Genomic DNA, 27,230 nt, shown 5'->3' on the forward strand with positions numbered 1-27,230 from the left:
CCAATGCCACATCACTGTCAGCTCCAAATGCCCTGGAACACCATTGTCATAGAGTGTGCCATAGACTTCTCCCACTCTCAGGGGCATGTCATTTTGGTCATGGCAGGCTCCAATGCCAAACTGGAACATCTTATCCCTGTTTATCAGCTTATTGCCACTCTATTAATATTAAATTATCAGGAAAAAAAAAACTATTCCTAGAACATATCATGGTTTTAGATTGTACTCTCCAGCTTGTCCTCCAGCCATCATTTCACAATTAGTAACCAGTTGGAATGCAGCACCTGGGTCAGCTCACCTAGCCAGTTTCTGAAGAATTTTACCTTTGACTATCCACTATACTCTTTCACCTAAACACAGTTTTATAGCAACTTATCGCTATGATTTCCTTCTTATCAAGCCCACCAACTGCAACAGTTGGTTAATTTGAAAGACAACGCATGCCAGCAAGCAGACCTGAAAGCCCTCTGGCATGCCAATGAGAAATTTAAATATTGACCTGTGCCAGACATCAGAGGAAACCAAACAATAGGAGATACCATAGGCACTCCCCAGATATGCAAGCAAAATCTGCCTTTGACAAAAAACCAGTGTTATAAGGAAGTATGAAGAGTCATAAAAGCCATTTTTACCCTGGTGTTCACTTCTGCTTGTTCTGCTTTTGGCTTCTGTTATGCCTGACCCAGCATGACTCTACCTTCTTCTTCATTACACATGCCAAAATTTGCTATCCTGAGATCAGGAACCGTCATATATGGTGTGAAAAGTGACCAACAACCCTCGGTGCCATCTTAATTCCAATAACCAATACACTGGAATGGGTGTGGGCCAACACAGTGATAATGAGAAATATTTCCCACTTCAGGAGTGCTCTGATTGCCATTGACCCTTTAAATGGGCTAAACCACCTATGATCATGCCCCGGCTGGTCCATGAAAGCAAGCTCCACATCCTAGATGATGAGACATTCTAGGAAATCACCTAGGAGTTCCCCAACCCATGTCCTGTTGCTGCTTCATCAGTGTTTGCTTTCTTGTTTCTGACACCATACTCCTGGGTCTGGTAGATTTTGTTACCTGCCTTTGACTTATTTGGATATGAGAGCCATTTGGATTCCACATTTGGATTTCCATATTTCGGCACCCCTGCATAGTTTAGAGATTTGCCTGTTCCTTTGGCTTCAGAATTTACTAACATTATTTTAGTAATGTTAGTAATGTTTTATAATGTTAGTGACTTTTTTAAGTTTATAGAGAATTTGCTGTAAGTATAGATATGCTTTCTTATTGGCTTATTTTTTCTGCAGATATGCATTTCTAATTGTATAATGCAAATTAATGGAAAATAAGACTTAGAGAAATGTATCTATATTAAGAAATATCTGTATAAGAAAACAATATGTCAGGGCATGTGTAGGTTACCTAATATTATTACTGTTCGAAGAAATAAACAAGCTGGTAAGTTCTATACTGAAAATAGATTACTCTCTGGCCCACTATTTATAGTGATTCTCCCTCAGATTTTAAGCCACATGTGTCAGATGTTTTTGTCCTTTTATTTATTTCTTTATTTAAAAAAGGAATCTCCACAAAAAGAATTCCTTTTAAATGCTTTAATTAGGGATAAATTGTATATCCGACTCCAAGTACATCTCTCTTTTTTGCATTCACTCTGAAACATTTAAGTGTCACTTTAGGTAACTATCAGGGTTAGGTGTGAGGAATTCAGGGTGGAGCAAAAAGATTGAGTGTGGTTGAGGAAAACTAAGACTTGGTAGTATCATTGGAGAGAAGACTGCATCTTTGGGACAGAAGAGCAATAGAGTGTGACAAGCCCAATGATAGGTGCTTGTAGGAAGGGCTGTGGGAGCTGTGGCAACCTTGCCAAAGGGGTCAGAGGACATACAGTGAAAGGGACATCTGAACCAAGTTCCCAGAAGTCAAAATTTAACCACATCTAGACTCAAAATTCTTTCCAAAGTAGAATGTTGACCAAAGCTGTTTCCCATAATTGCTCTGACTAGATGAGTCACGGAAACATGTTGTCTGCCTTCTCTGTCATTACATCATTTCACCGTCTTCTCATGGATGGTGCATTGTGACTTCGTGCATTCCATGGCCATTCCATATGGCAACCAAAGGAAGGGCAGGGAATGAGGACAGAGTGTCTCCCTCAGGCATGTGACTTTTCTATGGCAGGCCCCTTTACAGTCACATTATGCCCCATCCTTCCTATAACATGGGAGAGTCTTTCTTTTTAGGATTTAGTGGCTCAACAGGTTTGGAAGGACTTGGGAAGGGGAGGCTTCCCTGAGTTCTGTTGCTGGGAGAAGACAGGCAATTCAGTAGGTCAAATGGCAAAGGTAAAACCACAGTGGAAGGCTTCTCTGTGGACAGAGACTGAAGGGTGTGGAGGTATCGAAGCTGAACGGCAGCAGGGGTGCCTGACAGAATCTCAGCTGCCATCCTCAGGGACTCAGAAGCAGCCTTTTCCGCTTCTGCAGCAATCATCTAGAAAACATGTGACGAAAGCAAAGTGATTGTTCTTCATTCCCTGAAGGCTTCACCACTATGCAGTATGACTCAGCAGACAAGCACTGAGCATCTACTATGTGGCAAGCACGGTTAAGCATAGAACATGTTTATTCTTCTTTCTGAAGGGTCTTGAGCTGGGGAGACAGATTAAACTGTTAATCACAATTTAAGGTGGAATGCGTTAGGAGCCATCACAAGTATAAATGAAGTATTAGGGGAGTTATTAGCATCTGGTGGGCCTTGAAAGATTAGGATTTTGCCAACATAGAGAAAAGATTAGCCAGCATTCCATGCAAAGGCATGACGTTATGAAAGGGTGACCCCCAACTCAGGGAAAGTGAATGGGTAAACATTTCTGAAGTGAAAGTGCTGAGCTCACTACACAAATGCTACCTGAAAGTGGGTGAAGAGGACTTCACTCAGAGATCTAGAAGCAACTGCCCTGGGGACTATCCTCCTCCCCTTCCTCATCCCCGCCTCCCCTCAGTGATCCACAGGCAATGATCCTCTTACTGGTTCAGGTTTTTATCTTCACCTGCTCTCTGTTCTTTCAGAGAAATCTGCCTCCCTTCATTCTTCACTTTCCTCTTCCCAAGGCCCCCTCACCCACACCTCAGTTACCAGAAGCTGCTAGCTGCCACATCTTTGCCTCTTGCTGTCATGCCTGAGTGGAGCCGAGTAGCACAGCCTTCTCTTGGCTCTAGCATTGAGGGAACTGGGCCCTGATCGTGGTTGTCCCTCTAAAACTTGTGCCAAGCTTGGGATACAGTTCTAGGGGATACCTAGAAGTTAGAAGTTAGGGTGACTACGATTACCCAGGAAAAGATGCCAGCACTAGAGAAGAGGGATTGATGTGTGTGGAGGAGATGCCTTTAAGGAGAGAGAGGGAAGGTGAGACTCAAGCAGTGAGTGGTCACTATTATCAGTAGCTTCAGAGAGGGAGAGGAGTTGCATTAGTCAGGGGACTATTAACACACTTTAAGAGAGCAATTTTAATAGAGTTGTAAGGGCCCAAGACAGCTTCTGCCCAGTGCCTAATGAATGGACAGTAAGGAAGCAAAGGGGAAATGTTCTCCACGAGCAGGCCTTCCTAAAGGGCAGTCTGGGTGGGAGGATGGAGTGCTCACCCGCACTTTGGCTTGTCTTTGCGCTTCAGCCTCCACAGCCAGTGAGTGCTGAAGCCCAGCTGGCAACCTCACATCTTTACTGAAAAAGAAAGAATGCAGGTATGTAGGTGTGCAGCCATGATTTAGGGGCCAAAGCTTTCACACAGACTTGCAAGCCTCTCTACTGCTGTCTCATGATGAGTAGCAAATTTGGAGTGACCAGAGTGTGCCATTCCTAGACTTCTGAGGTCAAAAGTAGGCAGATCTCCAAGGTCGATGCCTCAAATGCAGTTTTGTATTATTGCTGATGCTACAGTAGAGCTGTAGTTTCTCATTATCAGCACAGCAGGTTTTGTATTGATGAGCTGTGCTCAGTTTTTCCGCTTAGGATATAATCTAAGCCCCAACTAATAAATTTGAACAATGGCTTGAAGAGCCACACTACTGATAATAAAGATAAGGGGAATTCATCCAAGTTTATAAAAGAGAAGAATTGATTTTGAAAAGGGTACAACTGACCAAATAAGAACAACGCTTAATGTATTGCATAAAAGGTACAAAATTGTCTTTTGACCCTGATTATAACTATAAAAATGCATATATGGAAAACAGGTTAGCTGCCCCTCAAAAAGTTAAATACGGAGTTACCATGTGACCTAGTAATTCTACTTCTAGATACAGACCCAAGATAATTGAAAACGTGTTCACTCAAAAACTTGCAAATTAATGCTTGCTGTAGCATTATTCATACTAGCCAAAAAGCAGAAACAACCTAAATGTCCATCAGCTGATGAACCAATAAAATGTGGTATAGCCTCACAATGAAATATTATTTGATCATAAAAAGTAATGAAGTACTGATTCATGCTCAAGCATGGTTGAACGTTGAAAACATTATGCTAAGTGAAAAGAAGCCAGACACAAAAAGCCATATATTGTATGATTCCATTTATGTGAAATGTCCAGAAGAGGCAAATCCATTGAGACAGAAACTAAATTAGTGGTTGCCAGGGATTAAGGAGTACATGGGGGATTCCCACTTAACAAGTACAGGCTTCCTTTCGGGATGATGAAAATGTTCTGAAATTAGATAATAGTAATGGATGTACCCCTTAGTAAATATATTATACTAAAACCACAGTTTAAAATAGCAAAAATGTGACATTTCTTTTTTTCTTTCTTTGAGACAGAGTCTCACTCTGTCACCCGGGCTGGAGTGCAATGCACAATCTCGACTCACTGCAGCCTCCGCCTCCCGGGTTCAAGTGATTCTCCTGCCTCAGCCTCCTGAGTAGCTGGGATTACAGGCATTTGCCAACACCCCTGGCTAATTTTTTTTTTTTTTTTTTGAGATCGAGTCTCGCTCTGTGGTCGTGGCTGAAGCACAGTGGCATGATCTTGGCTCACTGAAACCTCTGCCTCTCGGGTTCAAGCGATTCTTCTGCCTCAGCCTCCCTGGTAGCTGGGATTACAGGCATGTGCTACCACGCCCAGCTAATTTTTGCATTTTTAGTAGAGACAAGAGTTACACCATGTTGGCCAGGCTGGTCTCAAACTCCTGACCTCAAGCGATCCACCCACCTTGGCATCCCAGAGTACTGGGATTACAGGTGTGAGCCACTGCGCCTGGCCTAAAATGGGAAATTTCATGTAAATTTTATCTAAAACAATTTTTAGATTCATAGAGAAAAAAATAATCAGAGTAATTTGTCCAAATGTTATAGTGATTGTGTTATGGCTGTAAGATATTAGGTGATTTGTTTCTCTTTTTTATAAATTTATGCTGATATGGCTATAGTACTCAGTGAAAATAATTTTTCAAATGAAAAATTTAAAATGAAACCAGAATATTTTCCTTTATCATACAGTTCTTGCTAGTTAATTTCCTACCCACATTTCTATTCTCTCCACTTTGATTCCCCAAATACAGGTCACTGAATCCAAGGCAACCTGTGGAAAGAAGAATTCAGATGTCAGTGGGAGCCTCCAGGTGGGAGGAGAGCATGCCTAAACCCTGGTGGCCATTGTTCTGTACTAAGGAACAACATTCCCTTTGAAAGGACATTATTTGCCTGTTGTATTTAACTTCACAGTGCCTTGCAAAGAGTTGTTTAACTTGCATGGTGCCACCCAATAAATATCTGTGCAATTGAAGATGGTGTGGTATGCTGAATAATGGTCCCCAAAGATATCCCATGTCCTAATCCCTGGAATCTGTGAATGTTACCCCAAGAGGGATTTTGCTGGTTTGATTAGGTTAAAGGCTCTTGAGATGGGGATATTATCCTGGATTATCCAGGTGGCCCTAAATGTAATTATAGGTGTCCTTATAAGAGGGAGGCAAATGGTGATTTGACTACAGAAGAAGAGAAGGTGACATGATGATAGAAGCAGGAAATGGAATGATGCACTCTAAAGATGGAGGAAGGTGCCACGAGCTGAGAAATGCAGGCAGCCACCAGATGCTGGAAAAGGCAAGGAAACGGATTCTCCTCTCAGAACCTCCAGAAGAAATTGGTCCAGCTGACACCTGGACTCTAGCCCATTGAAACTGATTTTGGACTCTGTGGTCTTCGAAACTAAGAAAATAATTTTTGTTTGGTTTTAAGCCACCATGTTTGTGGTAGTTTGTTACAGAAGTAATAGGAACTAATACAGATATATTTTAAAAATCTGTTTTAAAATGCACTGAGTTGAGAACCAGTCTCTAGTCTCTCTTCCAGATGTCTTTCATTTATAGGATGTTTTCACTTCTACAGCTGATGCTGGTGGTTCCAGTTTCCTCCTGCTTCTCAGTCCCATCCACCCCCTTGATTGAAGTTGGAAACAGGAGAGGGAAGAAAATCGACTGTGGATTCTGGAAAGGAGGGGCAGGGCATGGAGCTCTCCATGTTGACCCAAACTCTTCTTTTTACACTTCTTTTCTCATTATTTTTTAGTGGTTAGACAAACAGTAAGCATAGTGCATTGAGAACCTTGAGAAGACTAATTTGGGGGTGTGGGTGAGAGTAAGGAATGTTGATAAAGACGTCGCAGAATAGGTGGCATCTTAAAGGACAAATAAAATCTTGCCTGTGGAGAAAAGGGAAGTATTCGATGCAGAAGATACAGCCCAAGAGGAGGCAATGGGAGCATAAAAGTGCTGAATGCTGGACAAAAGCTAAAGTAGGTTGGAGTATTAGATTCAGTGGGAGAAGGGTGGCAAGAGGTGAGACTAGAATAGTTGGGTCATTTATTTATTTATCCAAAAAACATTATCTACCTGCTGTGTGACAGGCCTGTGCTGAGGACCAAGAGATGGATAAAACATAGCCCCTGCTGCTATGGAGGTTGTAGTCTGGGAAAACCAGTGTCTTAGATAGATGGTCCCCAACTTGCAATGGTTTGACAATTTTCGACTTTTATCATGGGTTTATTAGGATACATGCATTTTTGACTTACGATATTTTTTGCTTTATGATGGTTTATAAGTCAAAGAACACTTGCATATATATTATAATCAGTGTAACAAGGGCAAGCTTGAATGTCAAGTGTCTGGACTTTATCCTTTAAAGGAGAAGGATGAATAAGGAAAGGAGGGTGAAGGGGGACATCCCATAAAGCATAATTGCCACCAGTGCCTTTGATTCTTGGGGTCCCTCTATTTGAGGTCCTCCTTCCAACTACCATGGTTCACAACCTCCTAACCCAGTTCTGGGCCTGGGTGTCCCCACTGCTTCAGTGACAGGCTCCATTGCTGGTGGTAATTGCCACTCCATTGGCCAGCTGCCTGGAATCCTGCTGTCTTCTCACTTCTCCTCTGAATACCTGTTGCCTACCTGCCTTGGTAAGAATCAAAGCCACCGACCCTGGCCGTGAATGAGCTTGCTGAGCTTGCTGTCTGTGGACTAGAGGGAGCTGCTTGTGAAGCAGTTCTTGCTCTTTCCCCTCTAATTCCAAATTGATTAAATCTAGACAATGGATTGGGTAATTCATCATGTAAAGGTCTATGACATCTTAGCTTTTGTTATCTGGAAGTCTTATTTGAACTTATTATTTAACTTGGCACTCATTATGCTTGTTTCCCCAGGTAGACAGTAAGCTCCTGGGAACCATGCTTTATCATCTTTGTGTACCAACCCCTCCTGTCCATCCCCACCAACCCCACCGTTCCTGCCAGCAATCATTCTGAATACTTAATACTAGGTGAGTACTTGGAGATGAATTTAAAGTCACTGGAGTAGGTTTGAGAGCAAAAACTGCGGCAATGACTGATTAACAAGCACCATACTGATAACTATAATTGACTCAGAGTCAATTTGGCAACCTCCTAACTAGCTATGAGCTCCCAAAGGGATGGCCCCTAAGGGATGGAACTGGCCATAGAAGATTTAATAAATGTCCAATGAACAAATGAATAAAAGATAAATATTTCAGCATATTGGCCATTATGTTTATCTAAGTACCTTTGCATCTTGGGCGATGCTCTTCCTCTCTAGAAGAATTTCAGTGAGGGATCGATGTGCTAGGAGACGCTTCATAGTGGTTTGCACAAGGAATTGCACAGCTTTAGATACATGAGCAAGACTGCTTAGGAGAAGAGAGGCATTTTCCATTCGGTAGTAGCAAATGGCATCTATCTCCATTATAAACATGTCTTTGGTCACGATCTAGGCAGAAAAAAGTTTGGATGACAGGCTTGATTCTTGGGCTCCTTTCCTATGTGGGGTTAGAGGAACTAAATGTGTTCAAAGTGAATTTTCTCCGCAAGAGAAAAATGGAGTTGGCCTACCCTTTATTTAAAATAGACATGTTTTTGAAAATTATGAAATTTTTATTAAATACACGAAAGAATGCACAACTTAATCCTGTGGTAAATCCTTTTGTAAAAAAAATCAGAAATAATTTTCTCATAAGAAGACATTCAGTTGATTCCAAACCAGGTCTTTCTAAACTGATACCAAAATAAAGCATCTGCTAAAAGAGAAGCATGTTCTGGGAAACAAGCACTCTAATGTGTTGCTCGCTAGAGTGTACGTTAGGGGATGCTTTGATGATATACATCATAAGCCCTAGAAAGATGTCTTAACATTTCCCTTTTTATATTGATCATAAGGACATATTTTAAGGATTTAGCTATAAGGATGTTACTCACAGTATTGCTAATTGGAATACAAATTGGAAAGAATTTAACATCAACAATAGGGAATTGGTTGAGTAAATTGTGATACAGCCACTAAATGAAATGCTGTATGTCCATTTAAAATAAAGAGATAGAAGCATTTAGCTAATATATGAAAAGATGATCACAATATATTGTTGGGTTAAGAAAGACACATTACAAAACAGTATATATGGTATGATATATGTGTGTATATATATATACCCATCTGTAAATATAACCACATACACTGAAAAATCTGAAAGGATATACTCCAAAATATCAACAGTTAACTATGGGTAACAGGATTGGGGTGAGTTTTTTTTCCCCAATTTTGTTTATTGTGTTAAAATACATATACCATAAAACTTACCATCTTAACCATTTTTAAGTATACAGTCCAGTGATACTGAATACACTCATAATATTGTGCAACTATCACCACCATCCATCTCCATAACTCTTTCATCTTGTAAAACTGAAACTCTGTACCCATGAAATAATAACTCTCCAATTTCTCCTTCTCTCAACCCCTGCAACCACCATACTACTTTCAGTCTCTATGAATTTGACTACTCTAGGTGCTTCATATGAGTAGGATCATACAGTATTTTGTGTGTGTGTGTGATTGGCTTATTTCAGTCAGCATAATGTCCTCAAGGTTCATCTATCTTGTAGAATGTCAGAATTTCCTTTCTTTTTAAGGCCGAATAATGTTCCATTGTGGGTTATATATCACATTTTATTTATCTCTTCAGTCATCAGTAGACACTTGGGTTGCTTCTTCCTTTTGGTTATTGTGAATAATGCTGTTATGAACACAGTTGTATAAATATTCTTTAAGACCCTACTTTCAATTCTTTTAGGTATATATGCAGAAGTGGAATTGCTGGGTCATACAGTAATTCTATTCTTAATTTTTTGAGGAGCTGCTCTACTGTTTTCTACAGTGGCTGCACCATTTTACATTTTCCTACCAACAGTGCACGAGGGTTCCAATTTGTCTACATCCTCTTCAACACTTGTTATTTTCCAGGTTTTTAAAAAAACAGTAGCCATGTTAATGAGTGTAAAGTGATATTTTGTGATATTGATTTGTATTTTCCTAATGTAGTGATGCTGAGCATCTTTTCATATGCTTGTTGCCCATTTATATATCTTCATCTTCTTTGGATGTCATCCTTTGAGAAATGTCTGTTCAAGTTCGTATTAGGGTTCTCTAGAGAAACTATAGAATGTGTATGTGTGTGTTTAGGTTTCATCATACATATATATGTACACACACACGTACACATATAGGTATGCTGGGGTGGGGAGAGAAAAAAATACTGATTTAAAGAATTGGCTCATGTGCTTATGGAAGCCAGCATGTCTAAAATCTTCAGGCTGAAGACCCAGGGAAGAGTTTATCTTTTCTACTGAAAGAATTCCTTCCTCCTCAAAGGGAGGTCAGTCTTTTTCTTGAGCCCTTCAATTAATTGGATGAGGCCCATCCCACATTAGGGGAGGGTAATCTGCTTTACTCAACGTCTGCTGATTTAAATGTTAATCCCATCTAAAAAAGTACCTTCACAGTAACATCCAGATGTGTTTGGCCAAATATAGGTCAAATGATCATGGCCTAGCCAGGCTGACACATAAGGTTAACTATCACAAAGTTCTTTGCCCATTTTTAAAATCAGGTTGTTTACTTTTTTTGTTGTTGAGATGTATGAGTTCTTCATATATATTGAATATTAACCCTTTATGAGATATGATTTGCAAATATTTTCCCCCATTCCCTAGATTGCCTTTGCACTCTGTTAATTGTGTCCTTTGATGCACAAAAGTTTTAAGTTATGATGTAGTCCATATCATTATTTTTCTTTCCTATTTTTGAGTATAAATAATCATTTTGTCCACGGTAGGTAGACCATGGAAAATGTATAGAGAAAGCAAAAGCCATCATTTGGCTTACCTCATGAAAAGGTATCTCCAGAGTTTGGAGACGAAGGTCAACCTTGTGGTAGGTATCCAGGCAGGGCAAAAAAAAGAAAAGACCTAAAAGAGAGGAGGAGGAAGTGACAGATAAATAGCTAGCATGAAGGCTGTTTGGGTTTCACCTTTCTGGGGTCAGGTTGCACACTACATTACTTTTCTTAGCCTCTAATTACAGACCATTGGCCCATCCCACCTCCACCTGAGGGTAAAAGGAGAGCACTATTATATATTATAATATGTAATCCAGGACAATAGGTATAAACAGGGATTATTCCCAGCAAACTGGGCTGTGTGGTCCTTTTAGTCATGGTGCTGCCTCCCCAGGTCTCAATTGCGTGTCTGTCCTTTCACTAGAATTGAATTTCCTAAGTAGTGTCCTATGCACTATTGTTAGCCTTAGTGTCTGACTTAGTGCCTTTTAGGTGCTCTCTAAAATTGTTTTTGAATCCATGAGTGTACCCAGGTGTCAAACTTTAGAGCCAGCAACCTCCATGTCATATTCGTTAGAATGTGAGCCCCAGAAGTAATCAGAATAGCAATTATCATGATACCAGCTTTCTGGTTGGCTAGTTAGTCCTCACCCACCCAATATAATATATAGGATCAATGTGCAATAAACATTTGTAGATTGATTTATTGAGATTTTCTGAGAGCCCATTGGATTCTGTGGGCTCCTGCAAAAGCCAAAGCTTTGTTGAAACAAGCAGCACCTCACAGAGTCCAGGATACTAGTCAGCTACTAGTCCTCCTCAGTGCCAATTGAGAAGGTTCCTGAAAACCAGGGCCAGAACAAGATGTTCTTTGTCCTGGAACTACAGAGTCTGGTTCTACTTTTGTGTGGACTCATATATTCATTCTGAATCTTCAAACTCTGATATTTGTCCCTAGTCTGGTCTCTGTGGGCGTGTCCTGGAACTCAGACCCTCTCCAATATAATATACACATGGGACTTTGCTCCTCATGCCTTCCTGGCTGACTTAGATCTCCAAACCCCCACTACTAAACCTTTCAGACTGACCATACTTCTATCTGTCTCCCATAATGAGCTTGGACCTCTGGACATCAACTCCACTAGATCTTAAGGTCCTGAGATCAGAGACCATGTCTTATGGTTAGCACAGAGTCTGAGCCACAAGAAATGCTTAATCTATGTTTTTTAAATCCCTATAACTGAAGAGCAACTTGTTATTTGAATGCTGAACTTTGCCTGTTTCTCATGATTGGATCTGAGCACCTGGAGTGGGAACTAGCTCAGCTTTTCTCTGAGAATTCACAGGACTCTGACCATATACACATCGTACTCAAATCAGTCCCCAGCCATTGGTCCTAAGCTAACTTGCTATTCCAGCAAGCCTTGCCCTGGCATGTGGGCTCTCTGTACCAATTCTCTCTCTTGGCTACCTATGACCTAGTAGTAATAGTCTCTGAAGAATATTTGAATAACCTATAAGTAACAGATTGGAAAATTCAGATATCATGAATCAAGTTACTTCATTTAATCTGAGGTCCATATTACAAATCTGCATGGGTTGAAGAAATTGGCAAGTCAGGAGAGAGGTGTTTAGAAAAAAAAGAGTGTTTTTTTACCAGGGCCTTTGGCTCTTCCAGGAAGCAGATGTCCCAGTCGGAATATAATTACTCTTTCATACTCTTGTACAACCTAAAGAGAAATTTAATCCTTTCAAATCACTCCCAGAAAGAAAAAGTCTTCAAAAGGCCTTGGCATAAGAATGATCCTAGATATCAGAAATTTTTTGTTTTGAGAACCAGGAAAAAATTTCTATTAATACTTAAGTTTCCAAAATCTATATTTAGTAAGTGTAAAATTTCAGAAATGAAAAAGTATATTAACCATGTTAATTTTTGAACCCATAGACAGAATTTTGATTAAAGACTTATGATTATCTAAAATCCATGGCCAACTTTCCCTAAATTAATCTTATCAAGGCATATTAAATCTTATATTTTACTGTGAGTTCTGCACTAGCTTTTATATGTATTGCTCATTAGCTATTTAATGGAAAGAGGGAGTATATTTTAATACCACTTGTGATGTTTTGTTTCAGAGTGCAATTTCTTCTGAGGCTGCTTCAAAATGATTCAATTGGATTTTTTTTTTTCTAGATGAAGTTTCGCTCTTGTTACCCAGACTGGAGTGCAGTGGCATGATCTCGGCTCACTGCAACCTCTGCCTCCCGGGTTCAAGCGATTCTCCTGCCTCAGCCTCCCAAGTAGCTGGTATTACAGGTGTAAGCCACCATGCCTGGCTAATTTTTTGTATTTTTAGTAGAGACAGGGTTTCGCCATATTCGTCAGGCTGGTCTCGAACTCCTGACCTCAGGTGATTCACCTGCTTTGGCCTCCCAAAGTGCTGGGATTACAGGCGTGAGCCACCGTGGCCAGCCTCAATTGGATTTTAATTTGCCAATTTTCACTGGTGATAGATCTAGAAGATTTGTGTTTACCCTGAAAATGTGCAGAGATACTTTTAAATGACAAAAAGAATCTGGAGAATGTCTATTAGAAGAGAAATAGAGAAGTTACTGCACACTACTTTAAAAATAAACTTCACTTTCTGACCCAGTATCAGAATCTGAGTTCAATTGCGTGTTTATCACTGATTTAACTTGGTCTGCTTATTTACATGTTAAGATATGCCCCACCAGATGAGGCACTCCTTGATGATACGGAATTAATCTTTTTTTTCTCAGTGCTTAAAAAATGCCTGATACATTGTAAGTATTCAATAAATATTTACTGAATAAATGAAAGAATGATTTGTGACTATAGACAAATTTATTTTCCTTCCTTATCCTCCCTCCACTTTAAAAAGCTCCAATGAATAATAACTAGTCAAATATAAAAATGTGATAAAGAGGCCCAACAAAACACATTTTGAAATGTGCTTCTTAAAGTAACAGGATCTACTAACCCACTGTAAGTCCTTTGAGGCTGGGAACCATGTTTTGTTTGTCTTCATGAGGTTTACAATTTTATGAGGCCAGAACACTGCCTTGCTTGAAACAATCAGAATGAATGACTGTATGTGGTTCTTAGAGCATGCCAAGCAATTCCCAATTGCTTGGTTTCCTAGCATTACTTGTTTCTTACCTGCTTTTATTGGAAAAAACAAATTCTCCCCAGAGATGAAGGGGAGTCTTATTTCTTCAAGACCTTGCTCAAATATAACTGCCTGGTTCTGCTTTTGTTTCCTCTCCCTAATTGGCTTCTTAGGGCTTACCATCTTAAGTGACCAGATCTGAGAGCCTTTCCCAAAAACCATGGCTGAGTCAGTGTTGTATCTTGTGGCAGTCATGCAGGTGCTCAGGTCACCCTTTGAGAAGAGCCTGCTGCCAACTATACACTGTCTATAGGAGACACACTTTATATTCAAAGATATGAACAGACTGAAAGTAAAAGATGGAAAAGATATACCATATGAACAGTAACTAAAGTAGAGCGGGAATGGCTATCCTAACATCAGAGAAAATGGACTTCAAAAGAAGCAAACATGTTACTAGCAATAAAGTGGGACATTGTATAATGATAAAAGGATCAATGCATTAGGGAAGTGTGTCAATGATAAGCATAGATGCATCTAAAAACAGAGTTCCAAAATACATGAGGAAAAAGACAAAAATAATTCAAAGTAGAAATAGACAATTCAGTAGTGACAGTTGGAGACTTCAATACCCCACTTTAAACAATGGATGGAACTAGAAAGACATGGAAGACTTGAATAGCACTGTCAACAAATAGACCTAACAGACATCTACACAGAACATCTCCACCCAGCAACAACAGAATAATACATTCTTTTCCAGCATACATGAAACATCATCTCCAGGATAGATAATATGCTAGGCCATAAAACTAACTTAAACAAACTTAAAAGGATTGAAATAACATAAAGTGTATTCTCTTATTACAATGAAGTTAAATTAGAAATCAATAACAGAAGGAAATTTGAGAAATTGACAAATATGTGGAAATTAAACAACATACTCTAACCAATGGGTTAAAGAAGAAATCACAAGGAAAATGAGAAAATACTTTGAGATAAATGAAAACAAAAACACAAGATACCAAAATGTATCTTGGGGAGGAAAATGGGGAGGGAAAGGTGAAGGGGAAGAGGAAAGAGCTGCTGCTTGCTGTGAGGAGTAAAACCAACAACAGCCCCAGCAGCAGGTGTACTGTTTCAGCCAAGGACACAGTCTTCTCTGCAGCTACAGCCAGTGACTGAGATGGCAGGAGTACTAGGGCCGTGCCATTTCTGCCCACTGTGGGACTCCTATGAAGCAAACCTTGCTCCGGAGTTCCCTTTTGGGCTGGCCAATGCTTTCTCAGAGCTGCACCACAGTCAGAGGCTCTTTCTGCCCAATCCTTTCTTCCCCTTCTCATATCACAAGTGTCAGGCCTGCATAACTGTCTGAAGGCTTCTCCTGACTACTCTTGTTTTCTTTCCCGTTAATCTTTCACAGGCAATATCTCCCAATAAATCTCTTGCTCCTCTAATTCCATCTTGGCATGTGCTTCCAGAATGGACACAGGTCTTCATTTACTTCAGGGACAGGCATCTGTAACCACCTGTGGGCCAAACATAATCATGACTCATGGTCTATAGAAGCTGCCTGAGAAGTTTCGTGGAAGTGTGTGGAGTGGATGTCATGATCCATTCTGGTCACAGAATGCAGATGAACGAGACATAGCCAATATAATACACATGGTAAGTGTTAGAACAAAGTGAAAGCAGAGTGACATGGGAGCACCAGGAAGGGAATGACAGTCTGGGGGAGTCAAGGAAGGCTTCCTGTTCACATTTGAGCAAGGTCTTGGAGGAGTAAGCTATCCTGGAAGGTGAGTCTGGGGTGAGGGCATTCCACATGGAGCAATAACATGTACCAGAAAACAGAAGTGAGAATGGGCATGGTGTGGCCAGTGAGAGGCCTCAGGAAATTACCTATTGGGTCCTTATGGAATCTCACCTTTACGCAGAACCAGATGGAAAAAGGGAAGGTCATGATGATGAAGAGCAGGGAAATGAGGACAAGAAGCCACTCACAGGCCCCTAAGCCGGAGGATTTGGTACCTTAAAAAAATTAAAGCAAAAGAATAATTATATTGAAACTTCACTGTATTCACTGACTAGCATCTGTTGGTCCAATTCTTGGTATTGGAGTTGGCACAACTTGGAGACTTTGCTGGAAATATTAGAATAAGTCAAATCAGAGTAGTCAGAGTTCACAGGGCCTGGGGAGGAGCAGGCTCCTGGAAAGGTAGTGGGGACCAGGCACAGTGGCTCACGCCTGTCATCCCAGCACTCTGGGAGGCTGAGGTGAGAGGATCGCTTGAGTCCAGGAGTTCAAGATCAGCCTGGGCAACATAGTGAGATCCTGTCTGTACAAAAAAAAAATTAAAAACTAGCTGGGTATGGTGGTGCGTGCCTGTAGTTCCAGCTACGCAGGAGGCTGAGGTGGGAAGAAAGGTTGAGCCTGGGAGGTTGACGCTGCAGTGAGTTATGACTGCACCACTGTACTCCAGCCTGGGTGACAGAGCTAGATCTTGTCTCAAAAATAAAATAAAAAAGAAAGGGAGTGGGGGTATACTGGAACAGGCACAAAATTTGTGAAGAAGGTCTGGATTCCAGTTCTGGCTCTACTGTTTCATATCCAGATGACCTTAGGCAAGGCGTATGACCTTTTCACGCCTCAGTTTCTTCACTATATTATGAGGATGCTAACATCTCATGACTATCCCATAATAACTAGTTCATGAGCTATATCACCTATCTCTGGCAGAAGGATAAAATAACACATACACATAAAAAGCACTGAGCTTTACTTTACATGTGTCTGTTTGTTTTTGTTGTTGTTTTTTGTTTTTATACTTTAAGTTCTAGGGTACATGTGCACAACGTGCAGGTTTGTTACATAGGTATACATGTGCCATGTTGGTTTGCTGCACCCATCAATTCATCATTTATATTAGGTATTTCTCCTAATGCTATCCCTCCCCCAGCTCCCCACCCCCCGACAGGCCCCAGTGTGTGATGTTCACCGCCCTGTGTCCAAGTGATCTCATTGTTCATTTCCCATCTATGAGTGAAAACATGTGGTGTTTGCTTTTCTGTCCTTGTGATAGTTTGCTGAGAATGATGGTTTCCGGCTTCATCCATGTCCCTACAAAGGACATGAACTCATCCTTTTTTATGGCTGCATAGTATTCCATGGTGTATATGTGCTACATTTTCTTAATCCAGTCTATTATTGATGGACATTTGGGTTCCAAGTCTTTGCTCTTCTGAATAGTGCCTCAATAAACATACGTGTGCATGTGTCTTTATAGTAGCATGATTTATAATCCTTTGGGTATATACCCAGTAATGGGATTGCTGGGTCAAATGGTAATTCTAGTTCTAGATCCTTGAGGAATTGCCACACTGTCTTCCACAATGGTTGAACTAATTTACACTCCCACCAACAGTGTAAAAGCGTTCCTATTTCTCCACATCCTCTCTAGCATCTGTTGTTTCCTGACTTTTTAATGATTGCCATTCTAACTGGCATTAGATGGTATCTCATTGTGGTTTTGATTTGCATTTCTCTGATGACCAGTGATGATGAGTATTTTTTCATGTGTCTGTTGGCTGCATAGATGTCTTCTTTTGAGAAGTGTCTGTTCATATCCTTCACCCACTTTTTGATGGGGTTGTTTTTTTCTTGTAAATTTGTTTGAGTTCTTTGTAGATTCTGGATATTAGCCCTTTGTCAGATGGGTAGATTGCAAAAATCTTCTCCCATTCTGTAGGTTGCCTGTTCACTCTGCTGATAGTTTCTTTTGCTGTGCAGAAGCTCTTTAGTTTAATTAGATCCCATTTGTCTATTTTGGCTTTTGTTGCCATTGCTTTTGGTGTTTTAGTCATGAAGTCCTTGTCCATGCCTATGTTCTGAACGGTATTGCCTAGGTTTTCTTCTAGGGTTTTTATGGTTTTAGGTCTAACATTTATGTCTTTAAACCATCTTGAATCAATTTTTGTGTAAGGTGTAAGGAAGGGATCCAGTTTCAGCTTTCTATGTTTGGGTAGCCAGTTTTCCCAGCACGATTTATTAAATAGGGAATCCTTTCCCCATTGCTTGTTTTTGTTGGGTTTGTCAAAGATCAGATGGTTGTAGATGTGTTGTGTTATTTCTGAGGCCTCTGTTCTGTTCCATTGGTCTATACCTCTGTTTTGGTAGCAATACCATGCTGTTTTGGTTACTGTAGCCTTGTAGTATAGTTTGAAGTCAGGTAGTGTGATGCCTCCAGCTTTGTTCCTTTTGCTTAGGATTGTCTTGACAATGTGGGCTCTTTTTTTGGTTCCATATGAACTTTAAAGTAGTTTTTTCAAGTTCTGTGAAGAAAGTCATTGGTAGCTTGATGGGGATGGCATTGAATCTATAAATTACTTTGGGCAGTATGGCCATTTTCATGATATTGATTCTTCCTATCTATGAGCATGGAATGTTCTCCCATTTGTTTCTATCCTCTTTTATTTAGTTGAGCAGTGGCTTACAGTTCTCCTTGAGGAGGTCCTTCACGTCCCTTGTAAGTTGGATTCCTAGGTATTTTATTCTCTTTGTAGCAATTGTGAATGGGAGTTCACTCATGATTTGGCTCTCTGTTTTTCTGATAATGGTGTATAGGAATGCTTGTGATTTTTGCACATTAATTTTGTATCCTGAGACTTTGCTGAAGTTGCTTATCAGCTTAAGGAGATTTTGGGCTGAGATGATGGGGTTTTCTAAATATACAATCTTGTCATCTGCAAACAGGGACAATTTGACTTCCTCTTTTCCTAACTGAATACCCTTTATTTCTTTCTGTTGCCTGATTGCCCTGGCCAGAACTTCCAACACTATGTCGAATAGGGTGGTGAGAGAGGGCTTCCTTGTCTTGTGCTGGTTTTCAAAGGGAATGCTTCCAGTTTTTGCCCATTCAGTATGATATTGGCTGTGGGTTTGTCCTAAATAGCTCTTATTATTTTGAGATATGTTCCATCAATACCTAGTTCATTGAGAGTTTTTAGCATGAAGGGCTGTTGAATTTTGTCAAAGGCCTTTTCTGCATCTATTGAGATAATCATGTGGTTTTTGTTGTTGGTTCTGTTTATGTGATGGGTTACATTTATTGATTTGCATATGTTGAACCAGCCTTGCATCCCAGGGATGAAGCCAACTTGATCGTGGTGGATGTGCTGCTGGATTCATTTGCCAGTATTTTATTGAGGATTTTTGCATCGATGTTCATCAGGGATATTGGTCTAAAATTCTCTTTTTTTGTTGTGTCTCTGCCAGGCTTTGGTATCAGGATTATGTTGTCCTCATAAAATGAGTTAGGGAGGATTCCCTCTTTTTCTATTGATTGGAAGAGTTTCAGAAGGAATGGTACCAGCTCCTCTTTGTACCTCTGGTAGGATTCGGCTGTGAATTCATCTGGTCCTGGACTTTTTTTGGTTGGTAGGCTATTATTTATTGCCTCAATTTCAGAGCCTGTTATTGGTCTATTCAGAGATTTGACTTCTTCCTGGTTTAGTCTTGGGAGGGTGTATGTGTCCAGGAATTTATCCATTTCTTCTAGATTTTCTACTTTATTTGTGTAGAGGTGCTTACAGTATTCTCTGATGGTAGTTTGTATTTCTGTGAGATAGGTGGTGATATCCTCTTTATCATTTTTTATTGCATCTATTTGAATCTACTCTCTTTTCTTCTTTATTAGTCTTGCTAGCGGTCTATTTTGTTAATCTTTTCAAAAAACCAGCTCCTGGATTCATTGATTTTTTAAAGGGTTTTTTTCTGTCTCTATCTCTTTCAGTTCTGCTCTGATCTTAGTTATTTCTTGTCTTCTGCTAGCTTTTGAATTTGTTTGCTCTTGCTTCTCTAGTTCTTTTAATTGTGATGTTAGGGTGTCAATTTTAGATCTTTCCTGGTTTCTCTTGTGGGCATTTAGTGCTATAAATTTTCCTCTACATCCTGCTTTAAATGCGTCCCAGAGATTCTGGTATGTTGTGTCTTTGTTCTCATTGGTTTCAAAGAACATCTGTATTTCTGCCTTCATTTCGTGATTTACCCAGTAGTCATTCAGGAGCAAGTTGTTCAGTTTCCATGTAGTTGTGTGGTTTTGAGTGAGTTTCTTAATCCTGAGTTCTAATTTGATTGCACTGTGGTCTGAGAGACAGTTTGTTGTGATTTCTGTTCTTTTACATTTGCTGAGGAGTGCTTTACTTCCAATTATGTGGTCAATTTTAGAATAAATATGATGTGGTGCTGAGAAGAATATATATTCTGTTGATTTGGGGTGGAGAGTTCTGTAGATGCCTATTAGGTCTGCTTGTTGCAGAGCTGAGTTCTGGTCCTGGATATCCTTGTTAACTTTCTGTGTCATTGATCTGTCTAATGCTGAGAGCAGGGTGTTAAATTTTCCCATTATTATTGCATGGGAATCTAAGTCTCTTTGTAGGTATCTAAGAACTTGCTTTCTGAATCTGGGTGCTCCTGTATTGGGTGCATATATATTTAGGATAGTTAGCTCTTCTTGTTGAATTGATCCCTTTACCATTATGTAATGGCCTTCTTTGTCCCTTCTGATCTTAAAGTCTGTTTTATCAGAGACTAGGATTGCAACCCCTGCTTTTTTTCGCTTTCCATTTCCTTGGTAGATCTTTCTCCATTCCTTTATTTTGAGCCTATGTGAATCTTTGCACATCAGATGGGTCTCTGAATACAGCACACCGATGGGTCTTGACTCTTTATCCAATTTGCCAGTCTGTGTCTTTTAATTGGAGCATTTAGCCCACTTACATTTAAGGTTAATATTGTTATATGTGAATTTGATCCTGTCATTATGATGTTTGCTGGTTATTTTGCCCATTAATTGATGTAGTTTCTTCATAGCATCAAGGGTCTTTACAATTTGGCATGTTTTTGCAGTGGCTGGTACTGGTTGTTTCTTTCCATGTTTAGTGCTTCCTTCAGGAGCCCTTGTAAGGCAGGCCTGGTGGTGATAAAATCTCTCAGCATTTTGCTTGTCTGTAAAGGATTTTATTTCTCCTTCCCTTACGAAGCTTAGTTTGGCTGGATATGAAATTCTGGGTTGAAAATTATTTTCTTTAAGAATGTTGAATGTAGGCCCCCACTCTCTTCTAGCTTATAGGATTTCTGCCAAGAGATCCACTGTTAGTCTAATGGGCTTCCTTTTGTGGGTAACTCGACCTTTCTCTCTGGCTGCCCTTAACACTTTTTCCTTCATTTCAACCTTGGTGAATCTGACAATTATGTGTCTTGGGGTTGCTTTTCTCAAGGAGTATCTTTGTGGTGTTCTCTGTATTTCCTGAATTTAAATGTTGGCCTGCCTTGCTAGATTGGGGAAGTTCTCCTGGATAATATCCTGAAGAGTGTTTTGCAACTTGGTCCATTCTCCCCATCACTTTCAGGTACACAAATCTGCCAAGACCAGCTCGGTCAGGGAGACCTTTACCCAGTGGTGCTAAAGGAATTTAAAGACACACACACAGAAATATAGAGGTTTGAAGTGGGAAATCAGGGGTCTCACAGCTTTCAGAGCTGAGATCCCGGAACAGAGATTTACCCATGTTTTTATTAACAGCAAGCCAGTCATTAGCATTGTTTCTATAGATATTAAATTAACTAAAAGTATCCCTTATGGGAAACAAAGGGATGGCCGAATGAAAGGAATAGGTTGGGCTAGTTAACTGCAGCAGGAGAATGTCCTTAAGGCACAGATCGCTCATGCTATTGTTTGTGGCTTAAGAATGCCTTTAAGCGGTTTTCCTCCCTGGGCAGGCCAGGTGTTCCTTGCCTTCATTCCCGTAGACACACAACCTTCCAGCTTGGGCGTTAGGGCCATTATGAACATGTTACAGTGCTGCAGAGATTTTGTTTATGGCCAGTTTTGGGGCCAGTTTATGGCCAGATTTTGAGGGGCCTGCTCCCAACACCAATCCAAACATAGATTTGGTCTTTTCACATAGTCCCATATTTCTTGGAGGCTTTGTTCGTTTCTTTTTACTCTTTTTTCTCTAACCTTGTCTTCTCACTTTATTTCATTAATTTGATCTTCAGTCACTGATACTCTTTCTTCCACTTGATTGAATTGGCTATTGAAGCTTGCACATGCGTCATGAAGTTCTTGTGCCATGGTTTTCAGCTCCATCAGGTCATTTAAGGTCTTCTCTATACTGTTTATTCTAGTTAGCCATTCGTCTAATCTTTTTTAAAGGTTTTAAGCTTCCTTGCGATGGGTTCGAACATCCTCCTTTAGCTTGGAGGAGTTTGTTATTACTGACTTTCTGAAGCCTACTTCTGTCAAGTCCTCAAAGTCATTCTCCATCCAGCTTTGTTTCATTGCTGGCAAGGAGCTGCAACCTTTTGGTTTAGAAGAGGCGCTCTGATTTTTAGAATGTTCAGCTTTCTGCTCTGGTTTCTCCCCATCTTTGTGGTTTTATCTACCTTTGGTCTTTAATGTTGGTGACCTACAGATGTGGTTTTGGCATAGATGACCTTTTTGTTGATGTTGATGCTATTCCTTTCTGTTTGTTAGTTTTCCATCTAACAGTCAGGTCCCTCAGCCGCAGATCTGTTGGAGTTTGCTAGAGTTCCACTCCAGACCCCGTTTGCCTGGGTATCACCAGCGGAGGCTGCAGAACAGCAAATATTGCTGCCTGATGCTTCCTCTGAAAGCTTCATCCCAGGGGGGCAGCCGCCTATATGAGGTGTCTGTTGGCCCCTACTGGGAGGTGTCTCCCAGTTACACTACACGGGGGTCAGGGACCCACTTGAGGGGGCAGTCTGTCCATTCTCAGAGCTCAAACGCTGTGCTGGGAGAACCACTGCTCTCTTCAGAGCTGTCAGACAGGGATGTTTAAGTCTGCAGAAGTTGTTTGCTGCCTTTTGTTCACCTATGCCCTGCTCACAGAGGTGGAGTCTAGAGGCAGTAGGCCTTGTTGAGCTATGGTGGGCTCCGCCCAGTTCAAGCTTCCTGGCTACTTTGTTTACCTACTCAAGCCTCAGCAATGGTGGACACCCCACCCCCAGCGAGGCTGCGGCCTCGCAGATCAATCTCAGACTGCTGCGCTAGCAGTGAGCAAGGCTCCTTGGGCATGGGACCCACCGAGCCAGGCACGGGAGAGGATCACCTTGTCTGCAGGTTGCTAAGAGCTTGGGAAAAGCACAGTATTTGGGTGTGAGTGTCCTGTTTTTCCAGGTAGTCTGTCATGGCATCCCTTAGCTAGGAAAGGGAAATCCCCCGACCCCTTGTGCTTCCTGGGTGAGGCAACGCCCTGCCCTGCTTCAGCTCACCCTCCATGGGCTGCACTCACTTTCCGACCAGTCCTGGTGAGGTGAACCAGTTACCTCAGTTGGAAATGCAGAAATCACCTGTCTTCTGTGTCGATCATGCTGGGCGCTGTAGACCGGAGCTGTTCCTATTTGGCCATCTTCTGTCCGGTTTGTTTTAAGTGATTCCAAGCACATGTCCAGAGGCTTATCTTCCATGAAATAACTTCCCCATTCATTACAAGCCTTAATGTCTGAAGTTCCATCATTTTAACACCTCCATTAAGGTGTTGATCTCAATAGTCTTTGAAAATTAACTTTATGGGGTAATATTCACCTACTAATATGTATAAAAAAGTGATAAGGAACTGGGGTTCAGAACATCCAAGATGCTTGGGTGATAAATGAAACAATATCAAGGAGAGTCAGTCTCAAGAACACAAGCTTCTTGGGGTCTTGTCTTATTTACAGTATGCCCCCAGGGCTTAGAATAGTGCCTGGCACCATACATGTGCTCAATAAATATTAGTTGAGTGTGAGAAGAAAGGAGGAATGAAAATGATTTAAATGTAAGAGTTATGAAAATTTCAAGAATTTTAACCTCCAGGTACTAGAAAACTTACTAAAGCAATATTATTTGCCAGTTTAAAAAGATCGTAGAGGACTAGAAGGTGACTAAAAATTAGGAAATGGTAGTCTACTTTCCTTCCTTTCTTCCTTCCTTCTTTCCTTCCTTCCTTCCCTTCCTCCCTCCTTCCCTCCCTCCTTCCCTTCTTTCTTTCTTTCTTTTCTTTCATCTTTCCTTCTTTTTTTCTCTCTTTTGAGACTGGGTCTTGCTCTCTCCAGGCTGGAGTGCAGTGATGCAATCATGGCTTTCTGCATCCTCGGCCTCCTGGGCTCAAGCAGTCCCCCCACCTTAGCCTCTCAAGTAGCTGGGACTACAGGTGCATGCCACCTTACCTGGCTAATTTATTTTTTTGCAGAGATGGGGTCTCGCTATTTTGCCCAGGCTGGTCTCAAACTCCAAGCCTCAAGTGATCCTCTCACCTCAGCCTCCCTAAGTGCTGGGATTATAGGTATGAGCTATGGCACCTGGCCTAAAATCTTATTTTTAAGAGATGGGGACAAAGGGGATAACTAATTAGTAGGCCTGAAAATTTGATTTTCATGCCCCAGAAAGGTCACCACCAAATTGATGTGCAGATCACTTGAAGAAGAGGACAGAGATGCAAGCTGCACCAGCACAAAAACAAAATCAGCACTGAATACCATAGTATGGCAGTTTCTAAAGGCCATCCTACGAAATACTAATCCCACGGAGTGCTCCACCAAAGAAGAACTTCCTGGGCAAATGAGTTTAGAGAATACTAGGCACTACATCCCATTCCTGGAGTTCCCAGTGCTCTTCAGGACATTGAAGCTATGAGAATCTCGCAAAGCATTCTTAGCTTTGTTTACACACATTTGACCAGGTAATATTTTCTCTAAGGAACGCTCATTGATATTCTATGGAACTTATTTCTCATGGAACCTACTCTGGGAAATGCTGCTCTACCAACATATTAATTTTTATAATATTCTCTTTCAAGGACAATGACTAACAGTATCATTGCCAGTTTTAATTAGTTCATAAATATGTTTCAGTTACCAGTGGTAGCCATGGCAAGTAAAAATAAATAAATGCATATACAAAATTACATTTTATAAATGAAGAAAGGCCTCAAAAATTCCTTCATACAGTAGCGAGAGATATGCGTAGAAAACTAATTTATATCCTCAAACCTAACGTGAAGATTTACCCCCAAAATATTATTCTGTTAGAATAAGTTGCTTGAATATCCAACTTGTTTGGTTTAAGTGAATAGTGAAACATTAATTATTCAAGCAGGAAAACCTTTAAACATTGTCTGAGAGTCCCCAACATTTTGGTGAGGTGAAGCGCCTTTTCATTTCTCCCGTCTTAAGTAGCCTGCCTTTGGGAGTGTGGTGCTAGGTGAAAAAGAGGAGGGGATGTTACTCTCTGTTCCCCGTGAGCTTCAGAAACCTCCCACACAAGGGCTCAGCAAAGGTCACTTCATCCTTAGTGGGACTGCTCGCCCATTGCTTGAGGTCTCCTGCTTTTGTTACTCTGTAGCTGTAGGGACTGAGGCCCAAAAAGGTGCCCAAGGCCACAGCTATAGGACCATGACCAGAAATGAGGGGCAGCAGCAAGCAAGGGTGAGCATTTCAATCAGACTGTCTTACTCTGGGATTTTGGCTTCTCTACTTCCCAGCTACACGACTTGGGCATGTTACTTAATTTCTCAGAGCATGTTTCCTCATCTGTGATAAGAGGATGGTGAGAGATTAAATAACTCAGTAAAACACCCAGTGTGTGCCTGGCATATAGTAGGGGTTTCATAAATGGTGGCTTCCTTACTTGTCTACCCTACCAGTGTGATCTGCTGCCTCACAGTTACAAGCCCTCTAACCTCAGCATTGAACCCAGCAACCATTTACTGAACAGAGGTTTCTGACTGATGAAAGGGTATCATCAACTGGGCAAAACAGTATTAACGTGACCCATTTAAATTATACCCCAACTGCAGAAATCTTCCTTAAATGGTAGCTTTCAGTGATCCAGCATGTACTGCTTTGCTGGTAACTAGGAAATGTTAAAACTTCAGAGCCAGCAGGAAGCAATATAACACACTATTCCTTATTTAATTTCTTTTAACACCTGTCATCCCACTAAAGTGGTAATCATTTTTTTCTTCCACTCATTATAAAAAAGACTGGAGGTAGACAAAATTTTCCCAAGAGTTGTTTCTCCTGCAGAAGCAAAAGAGACACCTTTCTTTGCATTCCCTCCTTTGATCTAATTTTCCTCTCTCTTAGCTTGCAGCTGGAATTGAGTAAGTTTTTGTTCCAGACTTTGTGCAAAGTGCTTTGGATGCCTTTTCTCATTGTATCCTTACCACTACCCTCTGAGGCAGGTACTGTTATAGGAGAGATGGTTAAGGTCCTTCCTATGATCACATGGCTAGCAAGTGGTTGAGCTGTGATTTAAACTCAGGTGTGGCTCTTCCTCACTTGGCTCTGCTGCGACTGCTTTTCAGAAAGAATGATCATCTTCCCAGAAGTTTAAAATGCTTTTAGGTAAGACCGAGGGGTGGGGACGCTGGAAGAAGAATAAGCCTACAGCCTACAGCCACCAGCTCGTGCATGTCTTTACTTAAATTAGGTGCCCGTATGCCCCTCCATGGCCACAAAAACCAAGTCCATGGCTCCTTTGCCAAGTTGCTTCGTCCCCAACCTGTACCACACTCGCTCCCCAGTCCCATCCAAGGCTGGCCCCGAGACCAGTATATAGTGATATTTGTATTTCTTCTGATGTTCTTTGCTCACCATAGCAGGTTGCTGGGTTCCTAACTTACGCCCTTCCGTTCCTGGGAACCTGAGCATCCAGCAATCTGCTCTGGCTTCAGTGGGTCTCGTGGGGATGACCCTTTCCACCTTATCTGACGCCCCTTAGTTACCACCTGGAAAAGTAGCAGATAGTGGTGCTGAATCCGTACCTTCCTCGGGCCGCTCGCTCTCCAACAGCGCCACCACCTCGGTGCCCTCCTCGCCGGAGCCTCGGACCTCATCCACGTCCACCACCGTGGCGGCGGGCGCTCGGGGCTCCCCCGGGGTCCCCGCCCGTCCGGAGCCCGACGGCTCGGGCCCAGCCTCCTGGCGCCCGCGGCCTCCGCCGCTCCTCTCGGCCTTTGCCCTCTTGTTCTCCTTGTGCGGAGTCCTGCCGCCTCGCCCGCGGGACTCCCTGGAGGAGCTCCGCGCCCTCCTCTCCATCCTCAGAGCTGCCGGGCGGCTGGAGCAGCAGCGCGGGAGCGCTAGGGGCACGGGAGCGCAGTCCCTGTGGAGTCGCTGCGGGTCCGCGTGGCGTGCCCGGGGGACCCTAAAGACCGTCGGGTGGGGGCTGAGGGCGAGGGGCGGGACACCGGGGCCGCGGGCGGGGCGCACCCGGAACCCCGACAGCTGTGTCTTGGTGGAGCTGTGGACTGCGCCCGCCGACTCCCACGGCCGGGGCGGCGCTGAAGCAGAGAGAGGCCTGGGTGGGAGAGCCGGCCCCGGGCAGGGTGCGGGCGTTGAAAAGTGC

General features: G+C 41.7%; 2 protein-coding genes across 23 annotated transcripts in view, besides 1 other annotated feature; one reads left to right on the forward strand and one right to left on the reverse strand.

Moving 5' to 3' along the window:
* AXDND1 (axonemal dynein light chain domain containing 1) overlaps positions 1 to 5,794 on the forward strand; it is a 189,031-nt gene extending 183,237 nt beyond the window's left edge. For all 18 annotated transcript variants that reach the window (NR_073544.2, XM_011509168.2, XM_011509169.2 and 15 more), the window contains one exon: positions 5,571 to 5,794. Coding sequence is in view for 17 of the 18 variants with exons in the window: in XM_011509168.2 (XP_011507470.1) it covers positions 5,571 to 5,578 (8 nt within the window). In the remaining variant the exon portion in view is untranslated. The remainder of the gene's footprint in view (positions 1 to 5,570) is intronic.
* NPHS2 (NPHS2 stomatin family member, podocin) lies at positions 1,598 to 27,007 on the reverse strand. Of its 5 annotated transcripts, NM_014625.4 has the most exons (8): positions 26,650 to 27,007; positions 15,749 to 15,852; positions 12,348 to 12,420; positions 10,738 to 10,820; positions 8,086 to 8,289; positions 5,535 to 5,590; positions 3,662 to 3,740; positions 1,598 to 2,510 (listed from the first exon to the last, which is right to left on the reverse strand). In NM_014625.4, the coding sequence occupies exons 1-8, from the start codon at positions 26,921 to 26,923 to the stop codon at positions 2,232 to 2,234; spliced, it is 1,152 nt and encodes a 383-aa protein (NP_055440.1). In that variant the 5' UTR covers positions 26,924 to 27,007; the 3' UTR covers positions 1,598 to 2,231. The 5 variants fall into 5 exon arrangements, with proteins under 5 accessions (NP_055440.1, NP_001284504.1, XP_005245540.1 ...); NM_001297575.2 differs by lacking the exon at positions 8,086 to 8,289; XM_005245483.4 differs by lacking the exons at positions 12,348 to 12,420; positions 15,749 to 15,852.
* Positions 2,606 to 2,655: a silencer, noted in NCBI's record as "silent region_1590". NCBI's record gives its function as "represses an Ori minimal core promoter by ATAC-STARR-seq in GM12878 lymphoblastoid cells {active_cell/tissue: GM12878}" and the evidence as "EXISTENCE:reporter gene assay evidence [ECO:0000049][PMID:35858748]".

Source organism: Homo sapiens, chromosome 1 (assembly GCF_000001405.40).
Source record: "Homo sapiens chromosome 1, GRCh38.p14 Primary Assembly".
NCBI lineage: Eukaryota > Metazoa > Chordata > Mammalia > Primates > Hominidae > Homo > Homo sapiens.